Raw genomic sequence first — 24,244 nt, 5'->3', positions numbered from 1 at the left:
TACTTGGCCGGGCGCAGTGGCTCACACCTGTAATCCCAGCACTTTGGGAGGCCGAGGCAGGTGGATCATGAGGTCAGGAGATCGAGACCATCCTGGCTAACACGGTGAAACCCTGTCTCTACTAAAAATACAAAAAAAATTAGCCAGGCGTGGTGGCGGGCGCCTGTAGTCCCAGCTACTTGGGAGGCTGAGGGAGGAGAATGGCATGAACCTGGGTGGCGGAGCTTGCAGTGAGACAAGATCGTGCCACTGTACTCCAGCCTGGGCGACAGAGCGAGACTCCATCTCAAAAAAAAAAAAAAAAATTGGATTATACTCTACATATAGTTCTATTACTTCCTTTTTCTTTCTGCTGTACAATACATTGTGGACACATTTTCCATGCCAGCACCTAATTCCCCTTTTCCCATATGGATGTGACCTACCAAGGTTAACCAATCCCCCATTATTGGACACGTGAGTTGTTTCCAGTTTTTCCCATAAGCAATGCTATAATGAATACGCTTGATGCTACGTCATCTTTCCTTACTCTTGGGGTATTTCTGGGGAGAAATCTCTTTCTTTCTTTCTTTCTTTTTTTTTGAGACGAAGTTTTGCTCTTGTTGCTCAGGCTGGAGTACAGCGGCATGATCTCGGCTGATGGCAACCTCCGCCACCCGGGTTCAAGCGATTCTCCTGCCTCAGCCTCCCGAATAGCTGGGACTACAGGCACCTGCCACCACGCCTGACTAATTTTGTATCTTTAGTAGAGACAGGGTTTCACCATATTGGTCAGGCTGGTCTCGATCTCCTCGCCTCAGGTAATCTGGGCGTGGGGAAAATTTCTATAGGTAGAATTGCCTCCTCAAAGGCCATGCTTATTTTGCGTTTTAAGGGATATCCCTATACTGGCACCCCTAAGACTATACCAATGTATTTGCCCAACAAATCACATATGAGGACAGCTGGAGAAGGTTTGACATATACATATTTTTTTTTTTTTGAGACGGAGTCTTGCTCTGTTGCCCAGGCTGGAGTGTAATGGTGCGATCTCAGCTCACTGCAACCTCTGCCTCCTGGGTTCAAGCGATTCTCCTGCCTCAGCCTCCTGAATAGCTGGGATTACAGGCATGTGCCACCACGCCCAGCTAATTTTTGTATTTTTAGTAGAGATGGAGTTTTGCCACATTTGCCAGGCTGGTCTTGAACTCCTGACCTCGTGATCCACTAGCCTCGGCCTCCCAAAATGCTGGGATTGCAGGCGTGAGCCACCGCGCCTGGCCTGATACATACATTTGTAAGTGTTCTGCAGCTTTCACGGGGCTGTCACGGGTCAGGGAGGGGAAGAAGCGGGAGGGTGAACGTGCATCCATTTTCCTGAGGCGCTGAGTGTACAATCCAGCTTCAACCTAGGTTTGTCTTCCAGCTGTTTTCCAGGTGGAGAGAAGGGAGAAGGGGCTGTGTTGGGTGAGATAAAATGTCTCGGAGGGAGGAGAAATCTGGGCTCATCCAAAACTGACCTTCTCCCTATCCACCATGTAGGTAATATCCTTGGATACATTAGCCACCCCACCCGCCATGAGGCCAACCCCCACCCACCCTCCCACCCACTGGCTCCAGAGGATGGAAAAGCCCTACTACAAGGGCTATCTCAGCAGGGAAAGAGCCCACAGACCCCTAAACAATCTGCTCAGTGTTCAAGGCACTGCAGAATGTTAGCAAGAATCACCAGCTTCTAGGTTAAAAATATCCCATGCCCAAGGGGCCCTCAGTGTCTGTCTCAAAACAGAGCTGGCTCTAAGCTCTACAGTTTCTCCATTGCTGGGAAATTAACTGAGGCCAACTGATTTTTTTTTCCCCCATGAAGCTTTGAAGCCAGACTTGGGTTCAAGACCTTGCTTCGTTATTCTCTACTTGCATGACGGTAAGCCACTCATCTACCCTCTCATGCTTCAGTGTCCCTGGCTGTAAAAACAAAAAGAGTCCTGATTCTATCTCAGAGTTCGGTAGGTCTCCACCCTGACTGTGTGTGCAAGAAAACCACCTGAGGAGCTTTACAAAAATCCCTGTGCCCCGGCTGCATTCCAGACCCATTAAATCAGAATTTCTGAGGAATGGGTCAGGGCAAAAAAAATGTGTGTTAAAGCTTCCAATGTTTCTGCAAAGATGAGACCCACTACCAGAGAGGTTCGGTGAGTATCTTTTGTTTGTTTGTTTTTGAGATGGAGTCTCGCTCTGCTGCCCAGGCTGGAGTGCAGTGGCGCGATCTCGGCTCACTGTAACCTCCACCTCCTGGGTTCAAGTGATTCTCGTGCCTCAGCCTCCCAAGTAGCTGGGACTACAGGCACCCACCACCACACCCGGCTAATTTTTTGGATTTTTAGTAGAGACGGGGTTTCACCGTGTTAGCCAGGATGGTCTTGATCTGACCTCCTGATCCACCTGCCTCAGCCTCCCAAAGTGCTGGGATTACAGGCATGAGCCACCACGACCGGCCAGAGATTTGGTGAGTATTAAGTGAGATATGGGAAGAGTGCTTCCTTTGGTGCCTGTTTCAGAGTTAAGTACTTTAGTGGGGATGGGGTGGTCATGGGACTGACTAGCTAAGCCTGGGTAGTTGTCAAGGAGGGCTTCCTGAAGAAGGGGGTAGCTGAGCTGTGAACTGAAGGAGGAGAGGCATTAACCGGGACAAAGAGGGCAGGATGGATTTTAGCAGTGGTAACAGCACTGGCAGGGGCCTGGAGTCAGGAATATGTGGCCTTTCTGTTGTGGTTGTTGTTGTTGAGATAGAGTCTTGCTCTGTTGCCCAGGCTGGAGTGCAGTGGTGCAATCTCGGCTCACTGCAACCTCCACCTCCCGGGTTCGGGCGATTCTCTGGCCTCAGCCTCCCGAGTAGCTGGGATCACAGGTGCTCGTCACCACACCTGGCTAATTTTTTATATTTTTAGTAGAGATGGGTTTCCACCATGTTGACCAGGCTGGTCTCGGATTCCTGACCTCAGGTGATCCGCCTGCCTTGGCCTCCCAAAGTGCTGGGATTACAGGCGTGAGCCCAGCCTTTTTTTCCTTTCTTTCTTTCTTTCTTTCTTTTTTTTTTTTGAGCTGGAGTTTCAGTCTGTCACCCAGGCTGGAGTCCAATGGCACGATCTCGGCTCACTGCAACCTCCACCTCTCAGGCTCAAGCAATTCTCCTGCCTCAGCCTCCCAAGTAGCTGGGATTATAGGCGTGGGCTACCACGCCCAGCTACTTTTGTAGTTTAGTAGAGATGGGGTTTCACCATATTGGCCAGGCTGGCCTCGAACTCCTGACCTCAAGTGATCCACCCACCTCAACATCCCAAAGTGCTGGGATTAGAGGCGTGAGCCACTGTGCCCGGTGTTTTTGTTTGTTTGTTTGTTTTTGTCTCTTTTTTTGAGATAGAGTCTCTCTCTCTGTTGCCCAGGCTGGAGTACAGTGGTGTAATCTCGACTCACTGCAGCCTCCGCCTCCCGGGTTCAAGTAATTCCCGTGCCTTAGCCTCCCAAATACCTGAGACTACAGGCATGCATCACCATGCCCAGCTAATTTTTGTATTATTTATTATTATTACTTTTTGAGACAGAGTTTCACTCTTGTTGTCCAGGTGAAGTGCAATGGCACAATCTCAGCTCACCGCAACCTCCGTCTCCCAGGTTCAAGCGATTCTCCTGCCTCAGCTTCCTGAGTAGCTGGGATTACAGGCATGCGCCACCACACCTGGCTAATTTTGTATTTTTAGTAGAGATGGGGTTTCTCCATGTTCAGGCTGGTCTCGAACTCCCGATCTCAGGTCATCCACCTGCTTTGGCCTCCCAGAGTGCTGGGATTACAGGCGGGAGCCACCATACCTGGCCATCGTGGCCAATTTTTTTTTTTTTTTAGGTGGAGTCTTGCTCTGTCTCCCAGGCTGGAGTACAGTGGCACGATCTCAGCTTACTGCAACCTTTGCCTCCTGGGTTCAAGTGATTCTCCTGCCTCAGCCTCCTGAGTAGCTGGGATTATAGTCATGCACCACCACGCCTGGCTGACTTTTGTATTTTTAGTAGAGATGGGGTTTCGCCATGTTGGCCAGCCTGGTCTCGAACTCCTGTCCTCAAGTGATCCACCCGCCTTGGCCTCCCAAAGTGATGAGATTACAGGCATGAGCCACCACGCCCGGCCCAACAAGGCTTATTGAACAACCTGAAAATTATTCCCAGTGAGTGGAGCTGAGAAGGGAGGAAGTAGAGAGAGTTGGTGAGGAGGTACATACTGGGTCCTCCAATGAGATCATGAAAAACCACTGGGCTTTATTCTGGTGTCATGAAGGTTTTATGCAGGGCAGTAACCCAGACTGTGTCCTTCTCCCAAATTCAGAGGCAACCAGAGCCTTCCCAAGGCACTGTGTCCAAGTCGGCTGGGAATCCTGGACTTGCCCAAAGGCTGTGGCACAACCCTGACACTCCCCTTCATGAGTCAGACAGTCTTGGGTTTGAATCCTGACTCTTCCACTTTGTAGCTGTAGCTGGGAGCAGGTGACTTTACTTAATAAGCCTCAGTTTCCTGGCCTGTAAATAGGACATAAAACACCCATTAGGTTTTAAAGACTTAACGTGATGCTTTACACGTGTTAAACAATGTGTACTCAATAATAATAATATTTATTATTAACTCACAACAACTCGATTCAGCACTTGGGTGGCTGGATAAATCCCCAAATCTGTCCTTTTCCCTCTTAGCCCTAAAGTCTCACCTCGGTTCTTCAATGATGCTAATAGCTACAATTTCTCAGCCCTTTTTGTGCATTTTTGTTTTTGTTGTTAAATCCACATAACAGCCATGGAAGGCATATATATGTTTTATTATCCAGATTTACAAAGAAGGCAACTGAGGCTCAGAGTGGTCAAGTCACTTGGTCTCAAACCACACAACTACTAAGTATTAAACCTGTAGAACCTCACTCCCATTTTACTGAAGAGAAAAGTGAGGCTCAGAAAGGTGAAAGATGAGGTATCATGCCAAAGACTACACAGTTGGCAAATAGAACTGGGATTTTTTTTTTTTTTTTTAGATGGGGTCTCACTGTGTCACCCAGGCTGGAGTGCAGTGGTGGAAGCTCAGCTGACCGCAACCTCCGCCTCCCGAGCTCAAGCGATCCTCCCACCTCAGCCTCCCGAGTAGCTGGGACCACAGGCACCCACCACCACGCCTGGCTAATTTTTTGTTTTTTTGGTACAGACAGGGTTTCGCCATGTTGCCCAGGCTGGTCTCGACCTCCTGAGCTCAAGTGATCCACCCACCTCAGCCTGGGAAGTACTGGGATTATATGCGTGAGCCACTGCACCCAGCCAGAACTGAGATTTAAACCCTTGCCTGTTTTGGGTTTCCTGGACACGAGGAGCCTCTCCTAGAGGGCCGAAGGGCCTGGTAGGACCCACCCTCTGAGCCATGAGGCTCCTCCTTGAGATAAGCCAGGGGAGGCTGGAAACTTTCCGTCTTACTACCCCTATTCTGGGGCCCTCGGCATACCTTTCCAAATACCAACCCCTCCTTCCAGAATGCTCTTCCCACAGCCTCCCTTTCGCAAAACATCAAGCTAGGGTTAGCTCTTTTCCAGGAAATGTTTTCAAGTCTCAGTTGAATCACTCTTGAGCGGTTGAGGCCCCTCTTGTTATTGTCTGTACTGCCTTTCTTTTCTTTCTTTTTTCTTTCTTTTCTTTCTTTCTTTTTTTTTTTTTTTTTTGAGATGGAGTCTCACTCTATCGCCCAGCCTGGAGTGCAGTGGCGCGATCTCGGCTCACTGCAACCTCCGCCTCCCGGGTTCAACTGATTCTCCTGCTTCAGCCTCCCGGGTGGCTGGGACTACAGGCACGTGCTACCACGCCCGGCTACTTTTCCGTATTTTTAGTAGAGACGGGGTTTCACTGTATTAGCCACGATGGTCTTGATGTCCTGATCTTGTGATCCGCCCACCTCAGCCTCCCAAAGTGCTGGGATTACAGGCATGAGCTACCGCTCGCGGCCCGTCTGTGTCTCTTTCTTTCTATTTAACTTTCCCCTTCCTTCCTTCCTTCCTTCCTTCCTTCCTTCCTTCCTTCCTTCCTTCCTTCCTTCCTCCCTCCCTCCCTTCCTCCCCTCCCTCCCCTTCTCTCTTTCTCTCTTTTTTTTTTCCAGCTTCCAAAAGCTTTATTGGCAAATATGCTCTATAAAAGAATGATCAATCCTGTTGCCTCTAAGTCAGTAGAATGAAGAGCTGTGTCCAGGGACACACCACACCGTGCTGAAGGAGACTGCTGCTGTGTCCACCTCTTATTCATAGACCCAGTCATGAGCACAAGACTTGTAGTCAACCAGTTCTTCAGGCTTAAACCGTAGGCTGATTTCTTTTTCAGCACTTTTTACTGAATCACTGCCATGAATGATGTTCCTGCCAACCTGAATGCAAAAGTCCCCACGAATGGTGCCTGGCTTAGAATCTGCTGGATTGGTCTCCCCAAGCATCACTCGGCCTGTCTTCACGACGTTCAGCCCCTCCCAGACCATGGCCACGACCGGCCCTGAGTTCATGTACTTCACCAGCCCAGGGAAGAATGGGCGGTCCTTCAGGTCAATGTAGTGCTGCTTCAGGTGTTCTTCAGAGGCCGGGAGGAACTTCATGGCCACGAGGCGGAACCCCTTCTGCTCGAAGCGCTTGATGATCTTGCCCACCAGGCCGCACTGCATGCTGTCCGGCCTGATGGTGATGAAGGTGCGCTCGAGGTTGGCCGTGGTCCGGGAAGCTGGAGGGGCCAGGCGGCAGTGCTGCGCTCCTCTCTTTCTTTTTTGGAACAAGGACTTGCTCTGTCACCCAGGCTGGAGTGTAATGGTGTGATCATGGCTCACTGCAGCCTCCAACTCCTGGGCTCAAGCAATCTTCCTTCCTCAACATCCCCAGTACCTAGGACTACAGGTTGGCACCTCTACAACTGGATAATTTTTTAATGTTTTGTAGAGATGGGCTGTTTTCCTGAACTCAAGTGATCCTCCCGCCTGGCTTCCCTAAGTGCTGAGATTATAGGCACTAGCCACCACACCCGTCCAGTAGTGACATTTTTTTAAATGTACTTTTTAAAAATTATTTATTTATTTTATTTTTATTTTTTGAGACAGAGTCTCCCTCTTGTCACCCAGGCTGGACTGCAATGGTGCGATCTCAGCTCACTGCAACCTCCCACTCCTGGGTTCAAGTGATTCTCCTGCCTCAGCCTCCCCAGTAGCTGGGATTACAGGCATACCACCATGCCTGGCTAATTTTTGTATTCTTAGTAGAGACGGGGTTTCACCATGTTGGCCAGGCTGGTCTAGAACTCTTGACCTCGTGATCCGCCCGCCTCGGCCTCCCAAAATGCTGGGATTACAGGTGTGAGCCACTGTGCCTGGCCTATTTTTGTAAAATATTAATTTGTTTTAGCAATAGATTAAGTTACATATGTGGGCCGAGCTCAATGGCTCACACCTGTAATCCCAGCACTTTGGGTGGCCAAGGCAGGCAGATTACACGAGGTCAGGAGTTCAAGACCAGCCTGGCCAACATGGTGAGACCCCATCTCTACTAAAGATACAAAAAATTAGCTGGGCACGGTGGCATGCATCTGTAATCCCAGCTACTCAGGAGGCTGAGGCAGGAGAATCGCTTGAACCCAGCAGGCGGAGGTTGTAGTGAGCCGAGATCGTGCCATTGGACTGCAGCCTGGAAATAGAGCAAGACTCCGCCCCTAAAAAAAAAAATTCAAACTATGCAAAAGAGTACTTAGTGAAATCTCCTTTCTACTCTTGATTCCCAGCCACCCCATTCCTCCAGCCCCAACCCTAGCCAGTTAACATTGGTAGTGTGCATTCTTCCAGAGTTGTTTCAATTTAATTTGTATAAGTATCTTTTTTATCTTTTTTTTTTTTTTTTTTTTTTAGACACAGCCTCACTCTGTCCTCCAGTCTGGAGTATAGTGGCACACTGCATTCTTCACCTCCTGGGCTCAAGTGATCCTCCTACCTCAGTCTCCTGAGCAGCTGGGACTACAGGCGCCCACCACCATGCCCGACTAACTTTTTTCGTATTTTTTTAGAGATGGGGTTTCACCATGTTGCCCAGGTTGGTCTGGAACTCCTGGGCTCAAGCAGTCCACCTTCCCTGACCTCCCAAAGTGTTGGGATTACAGGCGTGAGCCACTGCACCCAGCCTTGTATAAGTACCTTTTTTTTTTTTTTTTGAGACGGAGTTTCACTCTTGTTGCCCAGGCTAGAGTGCAATGGCTCAATCTCTGCTCAACACAACCTCCCCCTCCGGGTTCAAGTGATTCTCCTGCCTCAGCCTCCCGAGTAGCTGGGATTACAGGCGTAAGCCACCACGCCTGGCTAATTTTTGTATTTTTAGTAGAGATGGGGTTTCACCAAATTGGCCAGGCTGGTCTCGACCTGCTGACCTTGTGATCCGCCTGCCTTGGCCTCCCAAAGTGCTGGGATTACAGACGTGAGCCACCGCGCCGGCCTGTATAAGTATCTTATAATCATATTGTATCCCACTTTTTCCCACAAATGATACACACGTTACCTACATCGTTCAGTGTTATGTTTTCAGATCTTGGAAGCTGTTTCGTTTCAGTACATTTGAGCTTCCTGGGATCTTTTCTGTGGCTACATAATTTTCCGTTGTAGAACTGTATGTGATTTAATTAAACAGCCCCCTATTGATGGACATTTGAGTTGTTTCCAGTCTCTTGCTCTTAAAAACAGCACTGCGGCTGGGCATGGTGGCTCACGCCTGTAATCTCAACATTTTGGGAGTCCGAGGCAGGTGGATCACGAGGTCAGGAGTTCGATACCAGCCTGGCCAACTTGGTGAAACCCCATCTCTACTAAAAATACAAAAATTACCCGGGTGTGGTGGCTCACGCCTGTAATCCCAGCTACTCGGGATGCTGAGGCAGGAGAATTGCTTGAACCTAGGAGGCGGAGGTTGCAGTGAGCCGAGATTGTGCCATTGCACTCCAGCTCTGGGCAACAGAGCAAGACTCCATCTTGGGGAAAACAAACAAACAAACAAAAAAACGGGCCGGGCATGGTGGCTCATGCCTGTAATCCCAGCACTTTGGGAGGCTGAGACGGGCAGATCACGAGGTCAGAAGATTGAGACCATCCTGGCTAACACGGTGAAACCCCGTCTCTACTAAAAATACAAAAAAAAAATTAGCCGGGAATGGTGGTGGGCGCCTGTAGTCCCAGCTACTCGGGAGGCTGAGACAGGAGAATGGTGTGAACTCGAGGGGTGGAGCTTGCAGTGAGCTGAGATCGCGCTACTGCACTCTAGCCTGGGCGACAGAGGAGAGTCCGTCTCAAAAAAAAAAAAAAAAAAAAAAAAAAAACCACTGCAGTTAAGACCCCTGTACTGTCTTGTGTGTCAGTCCTGGGAAGATCTGTGAATGGCCTGAGAAGGAGGAGAGAGGTTTGGGCTGGGGGCCAGGAGATTGGGGTTTTCATCCTGATGCTACAACTAATTATGCAGCCCAGCTCACTCATCTCCTGGCATCTCCATGTTGCCAGTCTTTCATTCGTTCAAAAATAGTTACTCAAACCTACCATTCCAGATGCTGGTGAACAAGCAGCAAACAAGACAGACATAGTCCCTGTTCTCATAGCCCTGACATTTTAATGGGGGAGGCAGAGACAAATAATAAACAAGTACACAAATAAACGCAGAATATAATGGCAGAAGGTGAACCTCAACAAATACCAGGGTAAGGAGTCTGATTTGGTGGGGTACGGGGAGACTTTAGATAAAATGTTCAGGACCCACAGAGGTGGCACGTGAACAGCTATGCCAAGATCTGAGATCAGCTATGTCAAGATCCCAAAGTGCTAGGATTACAGGCATGAGCCACTGCACTTAGCCCAATAAAGTTGATTTTTAAAAAAAAAACATAACAGCTCCCTCCCCCTCCCCCATCCCCCTCCCCCTCCCCCTCACCCGCTCCCTCTTTCTTTCTTCGGTCTCCTTCTGTTGCCAAGGCTGGACTGTACTGCCGTGGTCTCGGCTCGCTGCAGCCTCCCTGCCCCGGGCTCCCCTGGTTCTCCTGCCTTGGCCTGCCGAGTGCCTGGGATTGCGGGCACGCGCCGCCACGCCTGACTGGTTTTTGTATATTTGGAGGAGACACGGTTTCGCCCTGTTGACTGGGCTGGTCTCTGGCTCCTGACCTCGAGTGGTCTGCCCGCCTCGGCCTCCTGGGGTACTGGGATTGCAGACGGAGTCTCGGTCACTCAGTGCTCAGTGTTGCCCAGGCTGGAATGCAGTGGCGTGATCTCGGCTCGCTGCAACCTCCACCTTCCAGCCGCCTGCCTTGGCCTCCCAAAGTGCTAAGATTACAGCCTCTGCCCGGCCGCCCCGTCTGGGAAGCGAGGAGCACCTCTGCCTGGCCGCCCCGTCTGGGAAGCGAGGAGCCCCTCTGCCCGGCTGCCACCCTGTCTGGGAGGCGAGGAGCGCCTCTGCCCTGCCGCCACCCCGTCTGGGAGGTGAGGAGCGCTTCTGCCCGGCCACCACCCCGTCTGGGAGGTGAGGAGCGCCTCTGCCTGGCCGCCACCCTGTCTGGGATGTGAGGAGCACCTCTGCCCGGCCGCCACCCCATCTGGGAGGAGTGCCTCTACCCGGCCGCCCCGTCTGTGAAGTGGGCGCCTCTGCCCAGCCACCCCGTCTGGGAGGTGAGGGGCGTCTCTGCCCGGCTCCCCCGTCTGGGAGGTGGGGAGCACCTCTGCCTGGCCGCCCTTCATCTGGGAGGTGGGGGGCGCCTCTGCCCGGACACCCCGTCTGGGAGGTGGGGGGCGTTTCTGCCCGGCTGCCCCATCAGGGAGGTGGGGGGCGCCTCTGCCCGGCTGCCCATCGTCTGGGATGTGAGGGGCGCCTCTGCCCAGCCACCACCCCTTCTGGGAGGTGAGGAGCGCCTCTGCCAGGCCGCCCCGCCTGGGAAGTGTACCCAACAGCTCCGAAGAGACAGCGACCATCGAGAAAGGGCCATGATGACGATGGCGGTTTTGTCGAAAAGAAAAGGGGGAAATGTGGGGAAAAGAAAGAGAGATCAGATTGTTACTGTGTCTGTGTAGAAAGAAGCAGACATAGGAGACACCATTTTGTTCTGTACTAAGAAAAATTCTTCTGCCTTGGGATGCTGTTAATCTATAACCTTACCCCCAACCCCGTACTCTCTGAAACATGTGCTGTGTCAACTCAGGGTTAAATGCATTAAGGGCGGTGCAAGATGTGCTTTGTTAAACAGATGCTTGAAGGCAGCATGCTCCTTAAGAGTCATCACCACTCCCTAATCTCAAGTACCCAGGGACACAAACACTGCTGAAGGCCGAAGGCCGCAGGGACCTCTGCCTAGGAAAACCAGAGACCTTTGTTCACGTGTTTATCTGCTGACCTTCTCTCCACTATTATCCTATGACCCTGCCACTTCCCCCTCTCTGGGAAACACCCAAGAATGATCAATAAATACTAAAAAAAAAAAACAAAAAAACCATAACATTGCCGGGTACTCACGCCTGTAATCCCAGCACTTTGGGAGGCCGAGGGGGGCGGATCTCCAGAGGTCAGGAGTTCAAGACCAGACTGGCCAACATGGTGAGACACTGTCTCTACTAAAAATACAAAAAATTATCCAGGTGTTGTGTCGTGTGACTGTAATCACAGCTACCCAGTAGGCTGAGGCAGGAGAATCACTTGAACCTGGGAGGCGGAGGTTGCAGTGAGCCGAGATCATACCACTGCACTCCAGCCTGGACGACAGAGTGAGACTCCGTCTCGAAATAAATAAATAAATAAAATAAAATAAAATAACATTAGGCTGGTGCCGTGGCTCACGCCTGTAATCCCAGCACTTTGGGAGGCCGAGGGGGGTGGATCACCCAAGGTTAGGAGTTCAGAACCAGCCTGGGCAACATGGCAAAACCCTGTCTCTACTAAAAATAAGAAAAATTAGCCGGGCGTGATAGCGTGCCTGTAGTCCCAGCTACTTGGGAGGCTGAAGCAGGAGAATGGCTTGAACCTGGGAGGTGATGGTTGCAGTGAGTCAAGATTGCGCCATTGCATTCCAGCCTGGGTGATACAGCAAGACTCCATCTCAAAAAAATTTTTTTAAAAAGATAACATTGGCTTATTGGCTTCTGGGTAGAAAATTGACAATAGAGGTCCAGTTTGGAGGTTCATGCAGTAATCCCAGGCAAGAGAGGGTAGTGCGTGGCTGCACCTAGAGATATAATTGCAGAGGTGAAAATGAGGGGGTGGGGGTGGGAATTGGGCTACACTTTGCAGATGGACAGGCAGAACTGGGTGTGGAAAGCGAGGACGGGGAGGAACAGAGGATGACTTCCAGGTGGACACCCGGTCAACATATGGGGTCCTTAGGTGATAGAGAGGAGGATGAAGGTGGAAATCCAGCCCCCTTCACCTGAGAAAAGGTTGAAGAATCTCTTGAGATCCTTTTTGACCTTATAATTCTTTGTTTTCTTTAACTTTTTTTTTTTTTTTTTTTTTTTTGAGATGGGAGTCTCACTCTGTTGCCCAGGCTGGAGTGCAGTGGCCCAGTCTCAGCTTACTGCAACCTCTGTCTCCTGAGTTCAAGTGATTCTACCTGCCTCAGCCTCCCAAGTAGCTGGAATTACAGGTGCACGCCACCACACCCAGTTAATTTTTGTGTTTTTAGTAGGGACGGGGTTTCACCATGATGGCCAGGCTGGTCTCGAACTCCTGACCTCAAGTGATCTGCCCACCTCGGCTTCCCTAAGTATTGGGATTATAGGCATGAACCACCATGCCCAGACACAATTCTTTGTTTATAAGCCCTTCCAGGCAGGCATGCCATATGGAGAAGAATTCTCAATATCCCCATCTCACAGATGAGAAAACTGAGGCTGAGAGACTCTCCCAGGATCCCCAAATGGGAACTGAGGAAAACTGGAATTCTAGCTCAAATCTTCTTTTTTTTTTTTGAGATGAAGTCTTGCTGTGTCGCCCAGGCTGGAGTGCAGTGGCATAATCTCGGTTCACTGCAACATCCGCCTCCCAGGCTCAAGTGATCCTCCCACGTCAGCCTCCTAAGTAGCTGGGACTACGGGGCCTGCACCACCACACTGGCTAATTTTTGTATTTTTAATAGAGATGGCGTTTTGCCATGTTGGCTAGGCTGGTCTTGAACTCCTGACCGCAGGTGATCCACCCTCCTCAGCCCTCAGACTCTCACAATGCTGGGATTATGGGCGTGAGCCACTGTGCCCGTCCCTACATAGTTTTCTTTAAGTGGACCCACTTTAAAACAAACAAACAAACAAAAAAACCTTATCTTTATCCTAAACAATAATATTGGAGCTGGGCCAGGCGCGGTGGCTCATGCCTGTAATCCCAGCACATTGGGAAGCCGAGGGAGGTGGATTATGAAGTCAAGAGATCGAGACCATCCTGGCCAACATGGTGAAACCCCATCTCTACTAAAAATACAAAAGCTAGCCAGGCATGGTGGTGGGTGCCTGTAGTCGCAGCTACTCGGGAGGCTGAGGCAGGAGAATCACTTGAACCCGGGAGGCGGAGGTTGCAGTAAGCCAAGATTGTGCCACCGCACTCCAGCCTGGTGACAAAGCGAGATTCCGTCTCAAAAATTAAAATAAATAAAATAAATAAATAAATAATATTGGAGCCATCACAGGTTTTATGTGCTAATTAGATAATTTTCTAACACATAAATATGTAACTATTAAAATAAGGAATCTGGCCGGGCGCGGTGGCTCACGCCTGTAATCCTAGCACTTTGGGAGGCCGAGGCGGGCAGATCACGAGGTCAGGAGATCGAGACCATACTGGCTAACACGGTGAAACCCCGTCTCTACTGAAAATACAAAAAATTAGCCAGGCGTGGTGGCAGGCGCCTGTAGTCCCAGCTACTCGGGAGGCTGAGACAGGAGAATGGCGTGAACCCGGGGGGTGGAGCTTGCGGTGAGCCGAGATCGCGCCACTGCACTCTAGCCTGGGCGACAGAGCGAGACTCTGTCTTGAAAAGAAGAAAAAAAAAAAACTGAGCTGGGCATGGTGGCTCATGTGTGTAATCCCAGCACTTTGGGAGGTCGAGGTGGGAGGATTCCTTGAGCCCAGGAGTTTGAGACCAGTTGGGCAACAAAGTGAGACCTCTCTGTGTCTGCAAAAAATACAAATAAAATAATAAATCTTTGTACTAGCTACAACCTCTCATTCCACCAGTGGCAGTTAGTCACACTACATTTGGGAGAATTATGCCTGGGACCACCCTACAGTGTTGCATGTCAACTCAGTACTCATGAAATATACATGATATATTTATCTAGATACAGCAGTTATAGACCACACTTTGTCAACACATAGTAAACGGACTAACGCGACACTTAACCTCACACTTCCACTCCTTAAGAACTGATCTGCAGGAAATCATTAAGGAAGTGTTCCGAGATTTAACTATAAGGATGTTGTCCTAGCATTGCTGATTATAGTGAAAATTTGTAACTAACTAAATTTTATCAGGAGATTGGCTAAGTAAATCCTGGTACAATTATATGATGCAATGCTGTTTTACCCAAGGAATTGATGTTTCAGAAGAATGTTAAATGCCATGAAAAGATGATCACACTGGACTGGCCACAGTGGCTCATGCTTGTAATTCTACCTCTTTGGGAGGCCAAGACTGGAGGACTGATTGAGCCTAGGAGTTCAAGAACAGGCTGGACAACATAGGGAGGCCCCCAGCTCTACAAAAAATTAAAAAAAATAACTAGATGTGGTGGTGCACACCTGTAGTCCCAGCTACTCAGGAGGCTGAGGTGGGAGGGTCACTTGAGCCTGGGAGGTCGAGGCTGCAGTAAGCCGTGTTTGCACCACTGTACTCCAGCTCTGGGTGACAGAGGGAGACCCTATCCCAAAAAAAAAAAAAAAAAACCCCAAACAAAAAACAAAGTAGTGATAAATGGGTAAATGAGAAAACCAAGTTTCAAAACAGTGTGCAAAAATATTCAAATATATATTTAATGTTTTATATCTAAAAACATATATGTGTATGTTTTTTGTGTGTAAAAGAACGCTCTGGAAAATCTACAACTGGTCATTCTTTTAGTTTTGGATTATGGATAATTTTAATTTTCATCTTAGTTTATTCATTTTAAAATAAGTTTTTTATTTTAAAAGATATCTGTAGGTCTGAATCTGAAAGGAAATCCAATAAAAAATAAAATAAAAATAAAGAAGAGGTCTTACTATGTTGCCCAGGCTGGTCTGGAACTCCTGAGCTCAAGTGATCCTCCTGCCTCAGCCTCCCAAGTGCTAGGATTACAGGTGTGAGCCACTGTGCTTGTCCATTTATTCGAGTTTTTGAGACGTTTTCCCACAATGACCAACTATTGGTTTTGTAAAGAAAATGTCCACACGTATATTATAAGCTCTGGAACTGACTCTTCTAGATCTGCTTTTATTCTCTCTCTCTCTTTTTTTTTTTTTTTTTGAGACAGAGTCTCACTCTGTTGCCCAGGCTGGAGTGCAGTGGCACGATCTTGGCTCACTGCAAGCCTCCCAGGTTCAAACGATCCTCCTGCCTCAGCTCCCCTAGTAGCTGGGATGACAGGCATGTGCCACCATGCCCAGGTAATTTTTTTTTTCTTTTTTTTTGAGACAGAGTTTCGCTCTTTTTGCCCAGGCTGGAGTGCAATGGCGCAATCTCGGCTCATAGCAACCTCCGCCTCCCGGGTTCAAGCCATTCTCCTGCCTCAGCCTCCCGAGTAGCTGGGATTACAGGCATGCGCCACCACGCCCGGCTAATTTTGTATTTTTAGTAGAGATGGGGTTTCTCCATGTTGGTCAGGCTGGTCTCGAACTGCGGACCTCAGGTGATCCACCTGCCTCAGCCTCCCAAAGTGCTAGGAGCCGCGTGAGCCACCGCGCCTGGCCGGTAATTTTTGTATTTTTAGTAGAGACGGGGTTTCGCCATGTTGGCCAGGCTGGTGTTGAACTCCTGACCTCAGGTGATCCACCCACCTTGGCCTCCCAAAGTGCTGGAATTACATGTGTGAGCCACCATGCCCGGCTGCTTTTTTTCTCTTAACCTCTTTCTTCCCAACTTTAGTTAATGCAGTGCTAAGGCTAATTCATTAAGTGTGTGCTTAATAAATGTTATTCACCCAACACATCTTTATTGAGCACCTGTTGTATGCCAGCACTGGGATAGAACAATGAGCAAATGGTCTCCACCTTTCTGAAGCCTACAGTCTAGTAGGAGACAAACACAAATAACAAGTTAATAGGAATGATTATTATTACTATTTTTGAGACAGAGTCTCGCTCTGTCACCAGGCTGGAGTGCAGTGGCGCAATCTCGGCTCACTGCAAGCTCCACTTCCCGGGTTCACGCCATTCTCCTGCCTCAGCCTCCCGAGTAGCTGGGACTGCAGGCATGCGCCACCACGCCCAGCTAATTTTTGTATTTTTAGTAGAAACGGGGTTTCACCATGTTGTCCAGGATGGTCTCTAACTCTTGACCTCGTGATCTGCCCACCTCAGCCTCCCAAAATGCTGGGATTACAGGCATGAGCCACTGTGCCTGGCCGGAATTATTATTATTATTATTATTATTATTTTATTTTTTATTTTTTTGAGAGGAGTCTCACTCTGTCACCCAGGCTGGAGTGCAGTGGCATGATCTCGGCTCACTGCAAGCTCTGCCTCCTGGGTTCATGCCATTCTCCTGCCTCAGCCTCCTGAGTAGCTGGGACTACAGACGCCCGCCACCACACCTGGCTAATTTTTTTTTTTTATATATTTTTAGTAGAGATGGGGTTTCACCATGTTAGCCAGGATGGTCTCGATCTCCTGACCTCGTGATCCACCCGCCTCAGCCTCCCAAAGTGCTGGGATTACAGGCATGAGCCACCGTGCCCGGCCAGAAATTATTTAATTATAATCATGATGAGTGCTTCTAGAATGCTAAAAAAAAGATTTTATTTATTTTTATTTTTATTTTTTGAGACGGAGTCTTGTTCTGTTGCCCAGGCTGGAGTGCAATGGTGCGATCTCAGCTCACTGCAACCTCCACCTCCTGGGTTTGAGTGATTCTCCTCCCTCAGCCTCCCGAGTAGCTGGGATTACAGGTGTGTGCCACCACACCTGGCTAATTTTTGTATTTTTAGTAGAGACGGGGGAGTTTCACCATATTGGCCAGGCTGGTCTTGATCTCCTGACCTCAGGTGATTCATCTGCCTTGGCCTCCCAAAGTGCTGATTGCAGGTGTGAGCCACCACGCCTGTCCCAAAAAAAGATTTTAATAACAGGGCTGACATAGTTCAGCAGGTCAGGGAACAGTTTTCTGAGGAAATGATTTTTAGGTTAAAACCCCCAAAATAGGCCAGGCGTAGTGGCTCATTCCGGTAATCCCAGCACTTTGGGAGGCCGAGGTGGGCGGATCACGAGGTCAGGCATTGGAGACCACCCTGGCCAACATGGTGAAACCCCGTCTCTACTAAAAATACAAAAATTAGCCAGGTGTAGTGGCGCGCGCCAGTAATCCCAGCTACTCGGGAGGCTGAGGCAGGAGAATTGCTTGAACCCTGGAGGCAGAGGTTGCAGTGGGCCGAGATTGTGCCATTGCACTACAGCCTGGGTGACAGAGCGAGACTCCATCTCAAAAAAAAAAACAAAAACCAAAATAATGATGACAGCTGACATTTAAAACTGTACCGTTCAATGCAGTAGCCGCTAGCCACATGTGACTACTGAGTACTTAAAATGTGGCTAGCTGGGCCGGATGCAGTGGCTCATGACTGTAATCCCAACACTTTGGGAGGTAGAGGTGGGCAGATGGCTTGAGCCCAGGAGTTCAAGACCAGCCTGGGCAACATGGCAAAATCTCATCTCTACTAAAAATAAAAAATATTAGCCAGGTGCGGTGACATGTGCCTGTAGTCCCAGTTACCCAGGAGACAGAGATGGGAGGATCACTTAAGCCTGGGAGATTGAGGCTGCAGTGAGCCTCAGTCTCACCACTCTACTCCGGCATGGACAACAGAGTGAGACCCTGTCTCAAAAAAAAAAAAAAGAAAAGAAAAGAAATGTGGCTATTTGGATTGAGATGTGCTGTAAGTGTAAAATACACATTGGATCTTGAAGACTTCATACAAAAAAGAGTAAGATATCTCACTGATATTTTGTTATATTGATTACAAGTTGAAATGATAACATTTAGGATTTTTTTTTTTTTTTTTGAGACAGAATCTTGCTCTGTCGCCAGGCTAGAGTGCAGTGGTGGGATCTCAGCTCACTGCAACCTCTGACTCCCTGGTTCAAGTGAGTCTCCTGCCTCAGCCTCCCGAGTAGCTGGGATTACAGGCACGTGCCACCAGCTAATTTTTGTATTTTTAGTAGAGATGGGGTTTCACCATGGCCAGGATGGTCTTGATCTCCTGACCTTGTGATCCTCCCGCCTTGGCCTCCCAAAGTGCTGGGATTACAGGTGTGAGCCACCATGCCCAGCCAACACTGAGGATATATTGAATTAAATAAAATATATTATTAACATTAATTTTATCTATTTTATTTATTTATTTTGAGATGGAGTCTCACTCTGTCCCCCAGGCTGGAGTGCAGTGGTGTGATCTTGGCTCACTGCAAACTCCACCTCCCAGGTTCAAGCGATTCTCCTGCCTCAGCCTCTGGAGTAGCTGAGATTATAGGTGCCCACCACCATGCCCGGCTAATTTTTGTGTTTTTAGTAGACCAGGCTGTTAGCCAGGCTGGTCTTGAACTCCTGACCTCAGGTTGTTTGCTCACCTCGGCCTCCTAAAGTGCTGGGATTACAGGCATGAGCCGCCGTGCCCGGCCATATATTTTTTTATTTTTTATTTTTTGAGATGGAGTTCTGCTCTTGTAAGCCAGGCTGGATCTTGGCCCACTGCAACTTCCGCCTCCCGGGTTCAAGCGATTCTCCTGACTCAGCCTCCCAAGTAGCTGGGATTACAGGCATGTGCCACCACACCTAGCTAATTTTGTATATTTAGTAGAGATGGGGTTTCACCATGTTGGTCAGGCTGGTCTCAAACTCTTGACCTGAGGTAATCCACCCATCTTGGCCTCCCAAAGTGCTGGGATTACAGGCATGAGCCACCGTGCCTGGCCTGTTTCTTTTATTTTTTTAAAGATATTTTTTAGAGAGGAGGTCTTGCTAGTTTCCCAGTTTGGACTCAAACTCCTAAACTCAAGCAATCCTCCTGCCTCAGTATCCCATGTAGGTGGGACTACAGGCATATGCCATTGCACTTGGCTAAAAAAGTTTTGATTGGGCCGGGCGCGGCGGCTCACACATGCAATCCCAGCACTTTGGGAGGTGAGGCAGGTGGGATCACCTGAGGTCAGGAGTTCAAGACCAGCCTGGCCCACATGGTGAAACCCCATCTCTACTTAAAGAAATGCAAAAATTGGCCAGGCGCGGTGGCTCACGCCTGTAATCCCAGCACTTTGAGAGGCCGAGATGGGCGGATCACGAGGTCAGGAGATCGAGACCATCCTAGCTAACACGGTGAAACCCCGTCTCTACTAAAAATAGAAAAAATTAGCTGGGCGTGGTGGCGGGCGCCTGTAGTCCCAGCTACTTGGGAGGCTGAGGCAGGAGAATGGCATGAACCTGGGAGGCAGAGCGTGCAGTGAGCCGAGATCGCGCCACCGCACTCCAGCCTGGGCGACAGAGCAAGACTCCGTCTCAAAAAAAAAAAAAAAAACAAAAACAAAAATTAGTCGGGTGTGATAGCGGGTGCCTGTAATCCTAGCTACTCAGGAGGCTGAGGCAGGAGAATCACTTGAACCCGGGAGGCAGAGGTTGCAGTGAGCTGAGATCATGCCGCTGCACTCCACCCTGGGCGACAGAGTGAGACTCTGTCTCAAAAAAAAGAAAGAAAAAAAAGAAAAGTTTTGATTGCATATCCGGCTTGCATTCTGTTTCTTTTCTCTCTCTTTCTTTCCTTCCTTCCTTCCTTCCATCCTTCCTTCCTTCCTTTCTTCCTTCCTTCCTTCTTTCTTTCTTTGTTTTTTTTTTTGACAGAGTCTCACTCTGTCGCGCAGGCAGGAGTGCAGTGGCACAGTCTCGACTCACTGCAACCTCCGTCTCCTGGGTTCAGGTGATTCTCCTGCCTCAGCCTCCTGAGCAGCTGGAATTACCGGTGCACACCACTATGCCCAGCTAATTTATATATTTTTAGTAGAGATGGTGTTTCGCCATGTCGGCCAGGCTGGTCTCGAACTCCTGACCTCAAGTGATCCGCCCGCCTTGGCCTTCCAAAGTGCTGGGATTACAGGTGTGAGCCTGGTCGAGTTCTGTTTCTATTGCTGAGTGAAGAGTGTTATTTTGTGGTGACAAGGACCATTCTAAGTACTAGGTGTGTCGTTTCTTATTTAGTCCTATGAGGACTCTGAGAGGTAGCTACTATTAACCTTTCTATAGGGGAAGAAACTGAGGCACAGAGTAAATTGCCCAAGATGAACCACTAGCAAGAAGTCAGCAGGGTTGTCCATCTGCTCTGTCAATGTCGTTTAATCTTTAGGAAGAATGAAAAAACCTGATTGATTTTATCAAATGCAAGGGACTGAATGTTCATATCCTTGAAAATTCATATGTTGAAATCTAATCTCAATTCGATAGTGTTAGGAGGTGAGGCCTGACAGGTGATTAGGTCATGAGGGCAGGGCCCTCATGAAAGAGATTAGTTAGTGCCTTTATTAAAGGGACCCTCTTTGAGCCGTGTGAGGGTACAAAAAGTCAACAGTCTGCAACCCAGAAGAGGGCCCTCACCAGAACCTGACTGTGCTGGCACCCTGATCTTGAACTTTCAGCCTCCAAAACTGTGAAAAAATAATTTCTGTTGTTTATAAGTCACTCGGTCTACAGTATTTTGTTGTAGCAGCCTGAACTAGACACCAAGTTTAATTGCTGTGGGGTGAGAGTCCAAGGGAAGAAGGAAGCCAGGGAGGAAATGGGGGTTTAGGAATGATTTACATGAGGAAATCCCTGGCAGGGACCTGAGTGTTCGAGTGCACCAGCACTCAACTCTGAAGCTTCAGTTCTCTTTAGAACTCTGCATAGCAATGGGAAACTTGCCCATTCAATGGGTGCCTCGCATTTCCAGACCACACAGCTTTGAAAAAGAAAGGTTTTAGACCTTTGGAGAAGTGGACAAGCGTATGCCCTGGGGTTGGTCTAAGTTGTTAGCAGTTTCACTTAGCCGTTTCATAACCAGGCCTTGGCATAAGCCTCCCCAGGTTCAAATCTCAGTTTCCTTACTTATTAGCTGTATGACCTGGAGTAATTCAACCTCTGACTCTCAACTCTTCCAGCTGTAAAAGGGGCTAACAATGCTCATCTCCTAGGCTTGTGGTCAGTATTAAATGTCTTGTCTACAGACCTTTGCACATGCTGTTCCACACAGCTGGGAGTGGGGCGAGGCTACTCATCCTTCATGCTAACCACTTTGCTCTTTTGCGTGCACCTTTAGATTCAAGAAGGTAGACATCATGTTAGTCTTATTCATCATCCCAGCCTACGCAACAAAGCAAGACTGTGTCTTAAAAACACAAAAACAGGCTGGGCGTGGTGGCTCACACCTGTAATCCCAGCACTTTGGGAGGCTGAGGGGGGCGGATCACCTGAAGTCAGGAGTTCAAGACCAGCCTGGCCAACATGGTGAAACCCTGTCTCTACTAAAAATACAAAAATTAGCCAGGCATGGTAGTACACGCCTGTAATCCCACCAGGAGGCAGGAGATCACCTGAGATCAGGAGTTCAAGACCAGCCTGGCCAACATGGTGAAACCCCATCTCTACTAAAAATACAAAAATTAGCCAGGCATGGTGGTATGCGCCTGTAATCCCAGCAGGAGGCAGGAGAATCACTTGAACCTGGGAGGCGGAGGTTGCAGTGAGCTGAGATTGCACCACTGCACTCCAACCTGGGCGACAGATTGGGACTCCATCTCAAACAAAAACAAAAACACAAAAACTAAAACAAAATAGAGGTATGTGCAAGATGCTGGAAAACCACGCAATAGAGTGTTTGAGGAACAGTCTTTGGTCTTGAATTTATTATAGGAGAATGTGGCAGCCACAGAAGCTGCTTGGATCTGCCTTTATAAAATGACTGAACATGGTGGGAGCATTGGAACCCGGATACTTCTGCCCAAGGAGACTTCTCATTTTTTTTGTCCTGGAATTCCCTGATGGGTTGACCTGTTTGTCAGATCTGAGTCTCCTTGCCCAACCCTGCTTATTTCCCCTTCTCTGTCACGGGCATTACCCCTAGCTTTATCTCAGCATCTCATCTGCTTTCTGGAGGACCTGATCTGACCCAGAAGGCCTGGATTCTTGAGGGACAAGGGGAACTCGAAGCTGTACTTGCAGAGCAGTTTTATATAAAATCCACAAACTGCCATCACCCATCCCAACGGGTAGGGAAGTACCTCTAGGAGGATTAATTTAGAGAATAGCTATATAGTGTCTGTCTATTCAGACACTCAATAAATGGTAGTTGTTATTATTACCCAATTTCCGAGTGTGTGGGAGCACTGGGTGTGACTTTCCTGTAGTTTTCCCTTTAATGTCTAATCTGGGGACCCCTCTGCCCCATGCAGTTTTGGAAAAGTGTCTAGGGAGGGTGGCTGTGTGGAAGTAATATTAAGAGAGATGGAACCACACAGGTATTGGGTTTGGGCCAGAAAGGGTGAACTGCGAGCTGCACTGCCATTGATCCAGAGGACGACCCCAGGAAAGGTCAGCCACGGGCTCCGGGCCTTGCCTGGTACTGATTTATGGTCCTCCTGGGTGGTGACCTACAGGTGACAGACGGACAGGTGGGCAAAACTGACTGTCCAGTGGACAGGCATGTGATGACCCAGTGGCTGACGAATGCACAGACACATGGCTGACTGTGGACGGATTTGTCATCCGCAGGGTCAGGCAAGTGACTTTGAGAGGGACAGAAAGATGGATGGGAGTGGCTGGAGGCCTGGGAGCCGCCCACCTGCCCGCTTAGCCGCGAGGGGGCGCCACCGCCCCGCCCAGCGACGCCCACTGCCCGGGCTCTTGGCGGGGGCGGGACCAGCGTGCGCAGGGGGCGGGGCCAGCAAGCTCGCGGGGGTGTCCGGGGGCGGGGCGCGCGTGCACAGGGGGCGGCCGGGGGCGGGGCGCGCGGCGGGCGCGGGCGCGGGCGCGCGCGGCGGCGGCGCGTTCCGTTCCGGGCCGAGGCTCGCGGCGGAAAAGTTGCGGGGCATAGACGAGCGGCCCCGGGACGGGCAGCTAGCGCGACCCTGAGCCGGCGCCCGTGGTCCGGCCATGGACGACCTCGGTGAGTGAGCGGGAGGCCGAGGGAGGAGGAGGCGAGAGGCGCGCAGCTTGGGGCCAGGAGGGCGCCAGCGAGCGGCAGGGGCCGCGGGATCCCACCCTCGGCGGCCCCGGCCTCAGCTCCTGTCCCTGCCGGCCGGGGCTCCGCGGGGCTGGGATCCCTAACCGGGCCTTAGTCTCGGGCCAGGCCGGCCCCGGCACCGACCGCACAGCAGCGACCCCCCGTCTGGGACGGCTTCACCTCTGGACCCCCGACCTCGGGGACCCATCACCATCTCCCAGAAGGGCCCCAGGGACCAGCCCGCCCCTCAGGGACCCACCCCGTCCGCTGCAGGGACGAGACTTCCTGCGGCAGACCACCTCGTCAGCTACGGGACCCTCACCTCGCAGACCTCTCCCCACCCCCACCTCACAGATCGACCGCCCAACTCGGGGAGCAGCTGCCCGATCTCATGGGCTGCTCCCTCATTTCCTCGACCTGCTCCCCGTCCCTCCAGGGCCGCCCCCCACTTCACAGACTAGCACCCCCCTTCAGGGATAACCCCTCGGAGCCCACCCCTTTCATTTCACAAGTCAGATGCAAAAGCTAGAGATGAGCGTGTGATGACCACACCCCCATTTCAAAGACAAGTTTCCCAGTCTGCCTGCTCTTCTGACCCCCCACTTCAAATCTGGTCACCCCGTTTCAAGGACCCATCACTCATTTTCTCTCACTGACCTCCCCGCTCTGTGGACCAGCCCCTCAATTCACAGACCAGTCCGTCTACCATGGTATCTAAGTCTAGAACGGTAATTTGGGAGTCCTGATTCTCTCCCCACCCCTAGATTCTGGTGAAATGCCAGGGGAATGAGGTGGAAGGTG

The 24,244-nt window shown here is 50.0% G+C and overlaps 1 protein-coding gene and 1 pseudogene across 21 annotated transcripts in view, besides 3 other annotated features; one reads left to right on the top strand and one right to left on the bottom strand.

Annotated features, from left to right (window-relative positions):
- On the bottom strand, window positions 6,147-6,785 carry NME2P1 (NME2 pseudogene 1; annotated as a pseudogene).
- Window positions 8,340-8,840: an enhancer, noted in NCBI's record as "H3K4me1 hESC enhancer chr12:120717966-120718466 (GRCh37/hg19 assembly coordinates)". NCBI's record gives its function as "activates a minimal SCP1, AML or CMV promoter by ChIP-STARR-seq in naive H9 embryonic stem cells {active_cell/tissue: H9 hESC(naive)}" and the evidence as "EXISTENCE:reporter gene assay evidence [ECO:0000049][PMID:30033119]".
- Window positions 22,966-23,245: a silencer, noted in NCBI's record as "silent region_4946". NCBI's record gives its function as "represses an Ori minimal core promoter by ATAC-STARR-seq in GM12878 lymphoblastoid cells {active_cell/tissue: GM12878}" and the evidence as "EXISTENCE:reporter gene assay evidence [ECO:0000049][PMID:35858748]".
- The window catches only part of PXN (paxillin), a 55,284-nt gene continuing 54,312 nt past the window's right edge, over window positions 23,273-24,244 (top strand). For all 21 annotated transcript variants that reach the window (NM_002859.4, NM_001385990.1, NM_001243756.2 and 18 more), the window contains exon 1: window positions 23,273-23,386. In NM_002859.4, coding sequence (NP_002850.2) covers window positions 23,374-23,386 — 13 coding nt within the window. In that variant the 5' untranslated portion in view covers window positions 23,273-23,373. The remainder of the gene's footprint in view (window positions 23,387-24,244) is intronic.
- Window positions 23,406-23,555: a silencer, noted in NCBI's record as "silent region_4945". NCBI's record gives its function as "represses an Ori minimal core promoter by ATAC-STARR-seq in GM12878 lymphoblastoid cells {active_cell/tissue: GM12878}" and the evidence as "EXISTENCE:reporter gene assay evidence [ECO:0000049][PMID:35858748]".

This window comes from Homo sapiens, chromosome 12 (assembly GCF_000001405.40).
Source record: "Homo sapiens chromosome 12, GRCh38.p14 Primary Assembly".
Classification (NCBI taxonomy): Eukaryota; Metazoa; Chordata; class Mammalia; order Primates; family Hominidae; genus Homo; species Homo sapiens.
The sequence above is the reverse complement of the archived record's forward strand: the minus strand, read 5'-3'. Positions and strand labels throughout refer to the sequence as shown.